A 16,151-nucleotide genomic window follows, 5' to 3' on the forward strand; every position below is an offset into this window, starting at 1 on the left:
TAGAAGAGGCCGGGCGCGGTGGCTCACGCCTGTAATCCCAGCACTTTGGGAGGCCGAGGCGGGTGGATCATGAGGTCAGGAGATCGAGACCATCCTGGCTAACAAGGTGAAACCCCGTCTCTACTAAAAATACAAAAAAAAATTAGCCGGGCGCGGTGGCGGGCGCCTGTAGTCCCAGCTACTCGGGAGGCTGAGGCAGGAGAGTGGCGTGAACCCGGGAAGCGGAGCTTGCAGTGAGCCGAGATTGCGCCACTGCAGTCCGCAGTCCCGCCTGGGCGACAGAGCGAGACTCCGTCTCAAAAAAAAAAAAAAAAAAAAAAAAAAAAAAACTTAGAAGAAAACAGGAATAAATCTTTGTGGCCTTAGATTTGTCAATGCTTTCTTATAGATAGCACCAAATATACAAGAAACCAAAGAAAAAATATACAATTTGTACTTTATCAAAATTAAAACCTTATACTTTAAAAGACATCAATAAAACAGAAAGTCAGCTCACAGAATGGAAAGCCATATTTACACATCATATATGATAATATATTTGTATTCAAAATATATAAATTACATTTACAACTCAAAATAAAAAGTCAATTACCCAATAAAAACATGGTCAATTTGAGTACATGTTTTTTCAAATAATTTATAAAAATGGCCAATAAGTACTCTAAAAGATGTTTGAAATCATTACTCATTAAAGAAATGAAATTCTAAACCATAAAGATTTTTGACTATGTTTTAATACCTTTATGATGGTTACTAACATTAAAAAAGAAAATAACAAGTGTGGTCAAGAATGTGAAATTATTGCTATTCCCATATATTGGTGGTGGGATTGTAGAAAAATACAGCCAATTCAGAATACTGTTTGTTCTTATAAAGTTAAACATAAAATTACCATACAACTTAGTAATTCTACTCTTATGTGTATAACCAAAAAATGAAACACAAATATTGAAACAAAACCTAATATATTCATGTTAGTAGCAAAATTCACAATCACCAAAAGTAGAAATAGCACAAAAGTTCATCAACTAATCAACGGTTATATAAAATGTCAATGTTTTTACAGTGTAATTTTGGGGGGCATTAAAAATGAATGCAGTGCTGTTACACATAAAAACACGAATGACATTGTTTATCCTAAATAAAGTAGCCACAAAAGGCCACATAGTGTATGATTCCATTTATAAAAGTAACCTAAAATAGGTAAATTCAGAGTGTCACAAAGTAGATTAATGGCTGTCAGGACTTGGAGAAGACCGGTTGCATAATAACTGATTATTAGTTTTGGATTTCTTTTTGCGGTGATAATATTCTAAAGTTAGGGAGTTGTGATGGTTGCTATGTGAATAAACTGAAAACCACCTAAGTGTTCACTCTAGTTTACTGCTGTTAAGACTGTATCACTATTTTTGAAAGTTTTGTGAATAGCAGTTTGAAAACCTTTGACTATATTATTATTGGAAGGAAAGCATCTAAAATAATTATATCTATTTTCATTTGTAAAATATGCCCTAAAATAGTTAATTCATACTTGGTTATTTTGGTACTATATGTTTAATATCTGAATCAAAAGAAACCATATTACTTTCTGCTATGTTAAAATATGGCAAGTTTCAGTATGAATTACTAAATTAAGCAATGGTGTACTGTTGCCAGCTTACATTGGCTTGTGAGAGCCAATTGTTACATTTTCAGGAGTTTTGTGAGCCATCTGATATCCCTGCAGCTTGCAATTGGCCATGGTGGTAGTATTTATTCCAAAGAAACCAACACAGATTACCAACAGGGGAGCCTTGCCCAGGGAGTTTGAAGTTAACCATTTACTTGTACAGCACTGATTTTACTTGCTAAAGACAAGGTTAAGAAAATGAAAAGGCAAACCTTAGACAAGGAGAAAATACTTACAAAACATGTATCTAATGAAGACCTTTGTCCACAGCATACACAACTCATTTCCAATAAGCTAATAATCCAATAGAATGTTCTAAAAATTAGTTCATTCTAAATGATATATCCATTTGACAGCAAATTTATGAACACATCTTATCTACATGGCATTATAGAAAACACTTTCACACACATTATCATGTGAATCCTGAAGAAAGGGAAATGAAAACAGTACCGAAAACAGAGGAGGGGTGGTGAAGAGACAGAGACACACACACACACACACAGAGAGAGAGAGAGAGAGAGAGAGAGAGAGAGAGAGGAAAAAAGGAAAGATGAATCCCCATGATAGATATGGTTTGGTTTTGTTTTATTATTATTTTTTAATTATACTTTAAGTTCTGGGATACATGTGCGGACCATGCAGGTTTGTTACGTAGGTATACATGTACCATGGTGGTTTGCTGCACCCATCAGCCCATCATCTTCATCCGGTGTTTCTCCTAATGCAATCCCTTCCCTAGCCCCACACCCCCAGACAGGCCCCAGTGTGTGATATTCCCCTCCCTGTGTGCATATGTTCTCATTGTTCAGTTGCCACTTACGCGTGAGAACATGTGGGGTTTGGTTTTCTGTTCATGTGTTAGTTTGTTGAGAATGATAGTTTCCAGCTTCATCCATTTCCCTGCAAAGGACACGAACTCATCCTTTTTTATGGCTGCATAGTATTCCACGGCATATATGTGCCAGATATTCTTTATCCAGTCTATCATTGATGGGCATTTGGGTTGGTTCCAAGTCTTTGCTATTGTGAACAGTGCTGCAATAAATATATGTGTGCATGTGTCTTTATTGTAGAATGATTTATAATCCTTTGGGTATATACCCAGTAATGGAATGGCTGGGTCAAATAGTATTTCTGATTCTAGATCCTTGAGGAATCGCCACACTGTCTTCCACAATGGTTGAACTAATTTACACTCCCACCAACAGTGTAAAAGTGTTCCTATTTCTCCACATCCTCTCCAGCATCTGTTGTTCCCTGATATTTTTCTGATCACCATTCTAACTGGCGTGAGATTGCATCTCCTTGTGGTTTTGATTTGCATTTATTTAATGATCAGTGATGATTAGCTTTTTTTTCATATGTTGTTGTGTTCTTTTGAGAAGTATCTGTTCATATCCTTTGCCCACTTTTTCATGGGGTTATTTGTTTGTTTCTTGGAAATTTGTTAAAGTTCCTTGTAGATTCTGGACATTTGCACTTTGACAAATGGACAGATTGCAAAATTTTTTTCCCATTCTGTAGGTTGCCTGTTCACTCTGCTGATAGTTTGTTTTGCTGTGCAGAAGCTCTTTAGTTTAATTAGATCCAATTTGTCAATTTTGGCTTTGGTCGCCATTGCTTTTGGTGTTTTAGTCATGAAGTCTTTGCCCATGGCTATGTCCTGAATGGTATTGCCTAGGTTTTCTTCTAGGGTTTTTATGGTTTTAGGTTTTACATTTAAGTCTTTAATCCATCTTGAGTTAATTTTTGTATAAGGTGTAAGAAAGGGGTCCAGTTTCAGTTTTGTGCATATGGCTAGCCAGTTTTTCCAACACCATTTATTAAATAGAGAATCTTTTCCCCATTGCTTGTTTTTGTCAGGTTCGTCAAAGATCAAATTGTTGTAGATGTGTGGCGCTATTTCTGAGTCCTCTGTGGTTCCGTTTTTTAAGGAAATTATCATCCAGGTGTAGTAAGTAACTTGCCCATCCAGTCTCTCAACTTTCTGCCTCCTTGAATTCTTGCTATAAAAGCATAGATTCAAAGTAATTGTGAAATAGTAGTTTTCCAATTTTGAAATTAGTGTTCATTATATTTACATACCTGGATTGAAGACCAAGAGAAGAAAAAATATGTTGAAAATTTGGAGATTGTCTGTAATAAAAACTGGGAAAGATTTTTTTTTTTTTTTTTTTTTTTTTTTTTTGAGACAGAGTTTCGCTCTGTCACCCAGGCTGGAGTGCAGTGGCAGGATCTCAGCTCACGGCAAGCTCCGCCTCCTGGGTTCACGCCATTCTCCTGCCTCAGCCTCCCGAGTAGCTGGGACTACAGGCACCCGCCACCATGCCAGGATAATTTTTTTTTTTTTTGTAGTTTTAGCAGAGACGGAGTTTAACTGTGTTAGCTAGGATGGTCTCAATCTCCTGACCTCGTGATCCGCCCATCTTGGCCTCCCAAAGTGCTGGGATTACAGGCGTGAGCCACCGTGCCTGGCCGGAAAGATCTTTGAATGTTGTTAACAGGCATGGCTCATAGTCTTTACAGAGAGGCTATGGAATATTTCACTGAATACATTGCTTACAATGAAGAAATAAATGTAAGATTTGTAAGAATACTAAATTAATGAATAGGTTGGTAGTAAATTTTTCTTAATTTTTCTTCTTTAGTTTTGACAGTATTTTTTCTTAGTTTAGTTTTAAATTCCAAACTTTTGAACTAATTCAACTTCAGAATGGAATTTCCATCAAGTTGGTAAAACATGTTGCAGTCATTCAAGAGCTTTTAGATTTAAATTTTCTAACCTTGAGCAGATTCCAAATTTGCTTTTCAGCCAGAAAAGTCCTCTTAAATAAGACAGACCTGCAAAAATATTATCAACTGCAAATTCAGTCTAGATGTAATTCACCTGTTCTATTCTTCACCGGACATTTCACCGCGGAAATTAATTGCCAAAGTGTATTTCTAGCACTCTTCTTACTTTTTGAAAATTCCCAAACAATTCCTGATATAGAAAAGACAGCATTCCGTTTTCTCTTTCAAATTTTAATGAAAAAAATTTACCAGGAGTAGCCAGTATGTAAGAAGTATAAGTATTAAAAATAGACATGTAATGTTTTGCATAATTTTGTTTGCCCCGATTTTATAATTGTTGCTATAATAACCTCAAAATATAAATACGCATCTATTCTGAAAAGGTAGAACAATTTAAGTAGTCATTCACTTCTCTTCCAGATTTTAGTAGCAAAAGCTTACTTGATCTTTAAAAAAAGTATGCTCAGTAATGTATATTCTACATAATTGCTATTACTATCTTCTTTTCACTTTGTTCAGTATTAACATTTGAAAATCTTTTAAAATTGGACTAATAATTTCGATGGCTGTATTAGTCTGTTCTCACACTGCTAATGAAGACATACCCAAGACTGGGTAATTTATATAGGAAAGAGGTTTAATGGACTCACAGTTCCACATGGCTGGGGAGGCCTCACAATCATGGCAAAAGATGAAGGAAGAGCACAAGGACTTCTTACATGGCAGCAGGCAAGAGAGGCTTTTGCTTGGGATCTCCCCTTTATAAAACCATCATATCTTGTGAGACTTATTCTATAACACAACATCAGCACAGAAAAGACCCACCCTCATGATTCAATTACCTACCATTGGGTCCCCTCCCACAACCTGTGGGAATTATGGGTGCTACAATTCAAGATGAGGTTTGGGTGGGGACACAGCCAAACCATATTAATGGTGTGTATCTCAAACTATATATTGTCTATCAACAAAAAGGCAAGATTATTCAAGATATAAGCAGTATACTATAGAGAACATGGGCATGGTATTGGAATACCTTGCTGTTCAACACCTACTGGCTGTATGGCTGTGGACAGATTTATCTGGCCTTCTTTTCCTCATTTTAAAAATGAGAATAGATAAGATAACACATCTTAAAGTCTTTGGTATAATCAGGTATTATAGAAAATGTGTTGCATTTGCTAAACAATAAACCAATCTGCAAGTGCCAGTTGATATTATCATTTATATTGTGTCGGGAAAAAATAAGATAGAAAAATCGGAAATTTCCTAGGTATTTCTTATGACCACTCCACATAATTACTATCCTTACAGACAGATTTTTCCTCTTTGTAGCAAAAGGATACATCTGGTTTGATTCCAACAACACTTTAAATAAATTTATAAGTTCTTAGCCATTTCTAATTATGTAGTTCTTTCGAAATTATATCTGCATCCAGTGGTGTTTACAAAGAATAATTTTGATTAATGGTATCAGCACGTCCTATATAAAATACGTTTCCAGTTTTGTTATGTATATACTATGCAATTTGTGAAAATAAGCAGCTTATCTAAAACTTTTTGGTATTTATTTCTAACTGAACTAAAGGTTCTTGTCTAATTTTGCATATTAAAAATCAATGAAAGAATCACATAATATTGACTATTTTCATAGGAAGTAAACAATTACTGAAAACTGGGTATTCAAATAAGTTATCTTCATCACCAGGTTTTTTTCATTGGTCTGAAATTTGCTTTCTTATGGAAAAACAAAAGGAAAACTTCCTTACCAGTCTGGATATATACGTTATATGTCATTTTTTCCAGTTTCTCATAGAAATATAAGAAAAATCTTACATGAGGATAAATTTTTAAAATATTAACTAATACACATCCCGTCAATATAAATAGTCACAGTGTTTATGTTCAGCTTGATATAATGACCAGGAGGCAAAATTCTGATTTTACTTTAACATATTCACTTTTCTTTGGTGCATATGTTATCCTCAGTATGGTTAATGCTTCAAGATAGAATTTTATTTTTGACACTTTAGTGGTGTTTTCCATTTTAATTTTCGCTTTTTTACTGTATGTCAGTGCGTATTTGAAAATTAGAGCATATTAATCAAAATGCATTTATATCGTCATGGTTTTAAATTTTGCATTCTCAACATAGATTAGAATTCACTAGTACATATTTACTATAATCCCCTCTAAACTAATGTGAAAATCTCATTCTAAATATCATAAGGTCAAGGATTTGATCACCCGGTTAAAAAGATGCATACACTAAGGTTCATCTGTGTTAGATCTTCTAGGCAACGACTTTGTTGTTGTCTGTAAATGACTTTTGCCCAGTCAGAAATAAAATCAGAACCAGCAAGATCAGAATAAAGCAATAGGAGATCATTGACCTAGAACTTGGCTCCCAATTCCAAAGACCGCAAGGTCTGGGTTTCTTCATGTGAAGGAGTTGGTCACCATGTGGTGCTATTGCTACACAGCAGGCCTGGGTATCCTTGCAAAATGAACACTAACATTCTGCTTGCAGAAAAGCGTTGGTAGAAATATGAAACATTTATTTTTTGTGTAACCCATCTGTGATAGCAAAGAAAATATAACAAACCAATGAGAATATCATCAACAATAAATGGAATTACCCTTCTAATGTTAATGTTCCTGAATTCTTCAAGATTTAACTTGACAACATCTTCAAAAATTTAAATAAATTTAAAACGAAAACACACTAGTTTTGCACACACATTCTCTTCATCTTCCTTTCTCTCTTTCACTCAGTTGCGTGCACGCACATGCATGCCTACACAGCCATTTAATTGCTAGAATATATTGCCTCACTAAGTGTTTTGTGATACGGATCCAGGAAAGCCTCATGAACTCTCAAGAGGAAGACAACTGAATCAATGGCAATGAGAATACATAAGTAATAAACTGGGGATGCAAGTTAGATAAATTAAGAATTACCTCTCATATAAGATTGAACACAATGTTTACTAGAAGTCAGATAATACCATTCTTGCCAATCTAGATATTTCCTTTTAGGAACTTATAGTCTAGTGTCATATACAACTTACTGTCCCAAGTGAGTTCATAGTCTAGTCTAATATTAATGAAATTATTTTTGTATTATCAAAATAAGAGTTCAGTTGTTGGACTAAAACTATTTGGTCATAAATGGCAATCTGGTGACAATAATTTTTAATTCTTTGTTGTGTGATTATAAATAGCAAATTTTTAGAGGCTTTCAAAGTTTTGTTATGATTTCTCAAAAATATTTTGTCTATATAATAACAAAAATGATAAATCCTTCAATGTGTACTCTAATTTTTGGTAAAGAAAATAAAAATCCTTTTATGTTCTTGGCCACTTTAGCTTTAACTTAAGAGAAAAAAATCATAAATAATACAAAGAAACAGACAAAAAAATATTATGTTCAAGCTCATTTGAACATCCTTACCATTTTTTATCCTTTCACTACATCCAGCTTCTGATAAAAATTCTTGTTTTCTTATGCAAAATAAGAAATAATTTTTATAGCACTAGTTTTTGTATTTAGTAAATGAAGGTGTGCATCATTAGACTACAGCATCACACTCAGGAGAAAGCAACTACACATCTGTAGCATGATGCTAAGATATGGAAAAAAATACTTCACTTTCTTACATAAAATAAACATACCAAGGAAGTCAGGTGAACCTTCATGGTTATTTCTTTGTCTCAGGGTCTATGATGGAGGCCCTATATTGTCTATGAACGCATCTAAATTACACTGTTTTAAAGGAACAGATATATAGGAGATAGCTGCAAGAGGAAAAGTAATGGTCCTGGAGGAGTAGGTGACATTTTTGTCCTTTATTAATCCTCTGGAGTGGGCAGGATGGGTCTCTTTCAGTAAGGAGACATCATATGTATGTCCACTTCCACGTGTTTTCAGCTTAATTATAAATGCAACCCCCCAAAACACAAGTGCTATATATTACATTATGTATGATTACCATTTATTTCACCTATGTAAAAACCTCTAGAAATAAACTTATTTTCTATGTATAAATAAAGCTTATTAATTTAAGATGCCCCCTCCCACTACCCTGCACATTTGATCTATCTATTCAGCTTTTTTTATTTTTTAGTTCAGCCAGATGTTGGACATACAGATGTGAGAGTCAATGCCCAGTCAAAAGAAAAACTGAAGATCCACAGCAGCATCTTCCCCAACACAGCCAGGAAAACACTTCAAATGTCCTTCTATGGCTTTGTGTCTGTTTGTGTGTGCATTTTAACAATGAAGATACCCCAATGACGGAAAAGATGACACTGAAAATTATTGAATATGAGGAGATCTGAACAAGAATAATTCATGGAGGATTGCTAGAGTCATCGTGTGTGGATAAACAGAATGAGTACTGCATATACACAAAAATGCTGTATTTCTTCAGTAAACAACTTGCATACCTGCAGCAGTGCTGAATGAGAAATAACAGCTAAGTGTTTTTTCTTTTCCTGCCTTTATAGTTACAGTATTCCCTACAGATTTCCCATCCAGATGCTCTTCTGTCTACAATCTGACTGTGTGCAAAATCCAAGATGATATGCTGCGATAATTTTTAGTGTTAACATGGAGGATCTATAGGCCTGGATATATATATATATATATATATATATATATATATATATATATATATGTATGATATATATATGTATGTCAAATGCATGGTGTCCATTTACATTCTCATTGATCTTGAACTATTTCTTAAGCTCTGTGTCTTATATTTAAATGGGGGAAAGTAGTATTTAACTCCCTTTCAGAGTTTCTCTGAGAATCACTACAGATTTCATGCAAATTATCTAAAAAAAACCATAGTTTTCAATAAATGTTAATCATAATGGAATTCCACATTAAAAAACTTAAATTACACATTGATGAACAAATATTAATTGAATATTATGTTTACTTATTATTATTCCCTCAGGAAACAGGAATGTATGTAAAGTATTCCTGACCCAAATTAGGAATTCCTCCATACATGCAATCAGACTTTCTTAAGATCCTCAACCAATTAAATAGTTAGCTTGTAACACAAACTGACAGTCTTAGATTTTTCCCATTCAAAAAAACTAGTCTCCTTATTCTCATGATACTCTCCACTGCACAGATAATTTGAACAGATGCAAATTCATACTAAACATTTTTATCTTTTATATTAAAATATATGACTATTATTTTTAATAAATTCAAAACCCAAATTCAGTTTTCAAACACAGAAGTGTAAAAAAGCTCAAAATTATATTTATAATATTGAGTATGATGTATTGCCATTTTACATATATGTATATGTTTATACATATATATACAACCATTTAGCATAAAGCCGATGTTTCCGTAGAAGCATGAAAGTGTAAACAGTTTTGAAAATTTACAGGTTGTGATGATAATTGTGCAAGCTCTAGTTGTGTGATTATTATAGTAAAATATATAAAAGGCTATTGGTGTCTGTTTATGCTGGATTTTATGTTTCTATCTGGAATGCTAAACTCCCACTTGAAGGCACACAAAATGAAACAGCAGTTCAAAATAAAGCTTATGGTAAAAACTTTTAAGATGTTATATCATTTTGGAGTAATAGAATTTTCTCACTAGTATATCTATGCTGTTCCAAAATAAAGATGCATCTGTATGCATCTTTGAAACATGCATACACAACACTGTACGATGTTTTATTTGAGTGCAAGTGGAAGACGAATGTTGCATAATGTTATGACATATTTTCCATGACATAGAATGGCCTCTCTTCATTTGCGTGTATGTGTGTGTGTGTGTGTGTATACATTTATGTAAGTTTCTTTGTATTTTATCTTGTGTTAGAATTGTGTTAGTTGACCTCAATTCTTTATTTCCTCTTGGACAGGGCAATATGTAAGGTGTATAGATTATTTTCTCTTCTTCTAATAGCTTCTTTTAGTACTTTGAACAACACACTTAAATCTTAGAAATACAACAGCAACTACTGACTGCCAAGAAAGATGAGGAAATTAGTATCCTTAACATGCCTTTATATTTTAATTTCTCTCTACTTTCAGGCCAGGCAGGGTGCAGTCTACACACAGCACATAACCTGAGCAACAGACATTAATGATTTTTTTTCAGAATTGTGTTTCTGTATCACTTTATTCTTATTGCAACCAACCATCTTTATATTAATATATAATTTTTAAAATAAATTTTATTTTTAATACATTGTTTTGTTCCCAGAACTACAAAAACTGTTTTCCCTCAATATTATATCTATGTGTATTCAATATTCAATGACTTTTGTAATAGTGTAACTGCCTTATTCCTGAGCTTATATTTATTAATCTCTTAGTGGTTGGATTCCAGCCACAAGTAGTAGCAGTAGGTTTTGCTTGTTAAATCTGAGGCTTTAAACATTTCATAACCTTTTAAGATACATATTCAGACATGAAGGACAATTGAGCTGGGTATCATATTTTTGTGGGCTACAAATTCCATCATAAGTCATTTTCATTGCCTTCTCATACTGAATGCTATAAACTCCAAAATATTCATCATTCATTTAATATATTTTTATTATTTTCTTACTTTACTTACTTGCTATTCCCATTTTTGCTTTTTATTTTAGATATCCAATTTAGTGTATTTTATTTATTTTTGGATGGCGCATATTACCTAAAAGCTTTTCAACTTTTCTTATGGAAAAGTTTTTCATAATGGAGACTTCATCTTCTGTTGCATGTTATTGTTTTCTTTAGAAGGGGGAGGATCCTATAAATTTAGGTATTACATAATATGTGGCTGTATTTTTAAAGAGCTATATTTTATGAACTTTTAAAATACTTATATTGATGTCTTCTTTTTCTTTATAAGCACCATGAGATTCTTTTCTTTTAGCAGAAGAGTAGCAATACACCTATTAAAATTTTTAGAATTAATTATATGTTGACAGACTAGATTTGCAGGATGAAAACAAGAGAAGAGTTTACTCTGATGTTTATGGCTGCACCTGTGGAAAAAGGCTATTTTCAGTGTTTCAGATAATATAGCACCCTCTCACTCATTCTGCAAGATGATGAGCATTCATAAACAGAATAAATATTGTTGCTAATGTCATGTTTGTGGTAGTGTGGTAAGAGCAAAAATGAAATCCAGGTCTCATGACTAGCAGGCCAACATATTCACCAGAAGATTATTAAGTTTATTTACTCCAATGAGTGAAGATAAGTAGTAAGTTAGAAAAAGGTTTTCATTCTATAGAAAGCTGGTGTTACTAAACTTCTCTAACTATATTTTAGGTCTCAAAGATAATGTAAAAACTCTTAACACCTATTTTTTGTCTAGCATTAGTATTCACATGTTGTACTTTAATTGGTAGACTTATAACAGTAATAATCAAATGAGGAACTGAAATTAAAATAAAATCAAAACATGAAGACAAAGGAGACTTTGACACTGTATATATAATGTTTTATTTTTAAATTTTAGCAAATAATATGCACTTATATATGTGAAGATTTTATCTATCCATCTAACTATATATTTATAGAGTAGTCAATGAATACTTTTGTAGTGTTCATTTTACTAGCAGTAGAAGGCTCAAGGATGTGAGAGACAAACTGTGCAGAGTTTGCAAGAAGCAATTTCTAAAAGGTACAAAGGTCTAGAAATGGAAACATCTTTGATGTGTCTAAAGACATCTGGATTCCAATGTGGCTGAAACCAAGTAAACAAGGGGAGATGAGATGGAAGATGAAGTCAAATGGTGAGAGGGAGCCTGTTCATTCAGCTTTGTATAAGTCATACTAAGTACTTGGGTTTTATACTGAGTGAGCTGAAAAATACTGGACTGTTTTAAACAGAGAAGTGATATATGATCTAGCTTAAATTTTAAAGGAAACATTAGGTTTGTACTGAAGAAATATCCTGGAGTATAAGGGTATCTTAAGTTTTAACAAGGGATTGGAGGTAGAGGTGAGGATAAATAATTATATTTTGGCTACAATTTTGATATAGAAACAACAAAATATCCTAATGAAAAATATTTGAAATGAGAATCAAAAAAATGAGAGAGAAGTAAAAGGTGACCTTAAGTTAATTTGTATGAACAATTAGAAGAATGGAGCTGACATTTACTGAGATGGGGTAAACTGTGAGAACTGGTTTGTTGAGAGAGGATTAAGAAATCCTTTTGGAAGTAGTTAATTCAGCTAATTGACTAAAATAAGGTAAAAAACTAAAGCTGGAGATTTAGGATCATAGGTAAAATAAAGCTATTTAAAGTTATAAGTTTGGATGTGTTTGCTTTGGGAAGTAGTAGACAGAGAAAACACTGATCTTCAAGATTGACTTTAGAGCACTCAAAGACTCAGAGCTCAGAAAAATAGTGAAGACCCATCAAAGGAGGTAGCCTGTAAAATAAGGCAAGAAACAAATGTAATTAATATTATGTCCTGCAAGCCATGCTAACAAAGTATTTTAAGAAGGAAGGACCGATCAATCATGTCAAATGCCCTATAAACCAAGTAAGAAGAAATCTAAGAGTTGAGCATTTTATTTTACATAAGGTAAGACACTGTTTACCTTTACCATGATCTATTTCAATTCAGGGGTGGGCCTCAAAGCCTAATCAGAGTAGGATCAATAAGAAGCAGGAATGTATTCTTCTTAGACCAGAATGGCAGGAAGAACATAGTAGTTGAATATCTCCAAACTTTCTGAGGGGAATTCAACTGGCAAAAACTGAAAATTAACTAAAATTTCAAGGTAAACATCTTCATAAAACAAGAAGATCAGTTGGGTGACTATTGAAAAAGTCCAGGTTAAGAGATTTTTGTAGTTGGAATCTGAGTGATAGCAAAGGAGATGATAAGTGGTTGGATCCTTGATACACTGTTTAAGAGGAACCAACAGGAGTACTTGCAAGATTAGATGTAGGCTTTGAGAGAAAAAGAGGATCTAAGACAACTCTAATTTTGTTTAAACACAGCATCTTGAATGATGCAGATGTCTTAACTGAAATGGTAGTGATTTTTTTGAAGTGCAAGTCAAGTTGTGGCACAAAGCTGCTTAGAATCTTTCAATGGTTTTGTCAATTCAGAGTCAAATACAATGTCCTTATTATGGTATATAACATAAAAACTGGCCTAACTGGACTCATCTCCAGCATCTCCAGTAATATTAACATCCTCAAATTCTTATTCTGCAATTAGCTGCATATAGCCTTATGCTATCTCTTATAATTTAATACAATAACCTTTTTATCTGCATGCTTTCATTATATAAATGGATTGTAATATACCTAAAATTAGAGATTCTACCCTTACCAAAACTTAGAAATAGTCTAAACATATACATAGAAGCTGTTCATATAAACTTTTTAAGTAAATCAAAATATATAATAAAAACTGTTGCTTCCTATAGACTTGGCATAGTATATTACGGAAACAATTGTCTTGAATTTCTGAGTGTTTTGGAAATGTTATGATGTCTACCTGAGTATTTAATATGACAGCTAGAGACTACGTTCTAGTGTGACAGAAGTATATTGTTCAATATATCATTTTTTTCAGACCATAAAATAAGTTTTACATTTTAGATTTTACTTCTGACATACAAGGTAGGTGGTAAACTAACCTAATAATAATAATAATAATGATTTATGTTTCCAGTGTTATATGTCACATGCTTATAGCATAAGCAGCAGTGTTATCGGTTTCAATACAAAATGGTGTGAACCAAAAAGAGACTTCAGAAATATTTCCATGGGAAACCTAAGCGATTCACCCTTCATGGGACAAAAAGCTAATTGTGGAAGATTGCTATAAAAAAAAATCCACAAATTTCCATCAAAATCTATTGCAAATCACTTAGAGATTTGTATTTCTATAAAAGAGCTACAAAGGGATGATAGATGAGATGGTTTCTCCTGGAATGACAAAGGATCAAGAATCTTATGTAGAATAGTCAGAGGTTTTAAACACAAAATCTTGAAGGATTCTGCTAAGAGTGTAAAAAGCAGGTGTTTGTTCTAAAGCTAGACTACCAGAATAATGAAAAATTCCAGTATAAAAATTCATGAAAGGAAAACTCATAACTGTGTCATAAAAAGATAATTATTATCTCAGATATAAGCCAGATGCTCTCCTGTGGATTGCATATTAATATTCACAGATAGAAGGTTCTGTTTAGACAGAAGCGTTCCATTTGATGGGTTATATATGCAGTAAGCAGAGAAACTGGCTTAGGGGTGATAATAACTGCAGAAGACAGAATCATGAGTTCAGACTTTTGGATATTGTTAGTACTATTTGGTTTTAGCATTTGCTTTTTATTTTCAGGCATTAATGGGTCAATCACAGTTTTGCGACTTTTGTAAATTATATTTTTGTGGAAGTCATTTTCCCCTGTAAGGTTCCTGCTGTTTCTATGAATTATATGAATAACATGTATGTATGTTTTGTACGGTTTTTCAGTGTCAATTGGATAAAGGATACTATGTGATCTGAATCTTATAATTAAAGTTAAATAAACAATTACTATTTTGGAATTAGGTAGACTCTTAAAGAAACCAAATTCTACCCAATTAAATAGCATTTTATGTTTCTTAATATGAGGCCTGAGATAGTATTAAGTAACAGTTGCTCCAGATCAAGGCAACTGATCGGTGATCCTAGGCAAATTAACTCATCAAAAATGAAGAAGCTCCCAATACTGACCAACCAGATGAATATGACTCAGTCAACATCAAAATCAATGAGGTGAAAACAGTCTGCTTTCAGTGAAAATCAATGGTGGTGAAAATGAACTTCCTTGAACTTGACTTTTACAGATTTGGAGCCTGCCTTGAATAACAGAAGGGTATTCCAGTGATAATAGATTCCTGCCTCTTTCTAGTCAGTTTCTAATCCTTTAGAATTTAACAGTAATTCCATGTCATAGTATTTGGGATCTCCTACTGTAAAATTCAACTAAAGCCAGAAATTTCAAGTATGAGCAACAAAGCCATCACCTAAGAGCTCTGCAGAATGAAATCTAAATGGGTAGATTGGGCACATCATGAATGGGCACTTAGATGAATAGCTTACCTGCCATTTAACAAAACTCCACAATTACCTCCACTCACATTTAGCTCTGGAAAAATACAGCGGCATATATTTTTGTAAGGTAGCTCAAAACAGATTGTTAGATAATTTGCACGTGTAATAATGTTCTGGTACCCTAGCTTTTCCCCAAAACAAAACAACTTTGCCCTATTTATTAACAGTCCTGAATTTCAATCTAGATTCTTGGGGAAGGCTTGTGATGAAAAGGGTGCTCAGTGTCCATTACTTGGTCTTGCAGCTTGGTCTGTTAGCAACTTCTGCCACTTAGTCAACTTTCTCTTTTTCCTCCCTAAAGTCAACCAGTGCAATTCCTAATACTAAAACCATGTTATCTACATATCATGAGACTTATGGTTCTTTCCAAAGGTGTAAATGACATACTTCCAGATAAGATTTTGAATTTTCCTAAAATATCATCTCGAATAATGTTTGGGTCAAAACATAGCAGATCCCCAAATAATGTAACTCTTTATTGAAGTTTTTTGGAAATTGCGGCTTGTAATTTATATTCCTCTGAAAGAAGGGTCAGAATACTTTTACTGTAAAGGGATAGACAGGAAATATTTTAGGTTTT

Source organism: Homo sapiens, chromosome 7, assembly GCF_000001405.40.
Source record: "Homo sapiens chromosome 7, GRCh38.p14 Primary Assembly".
In the NCBI taxonomy this organism is placed as follows: domain Eukaryota; kingdom Metazoa; phylum Chordata; class Mammalia; order Primates; family Hominidae; genus Homo; species Homo sapiens.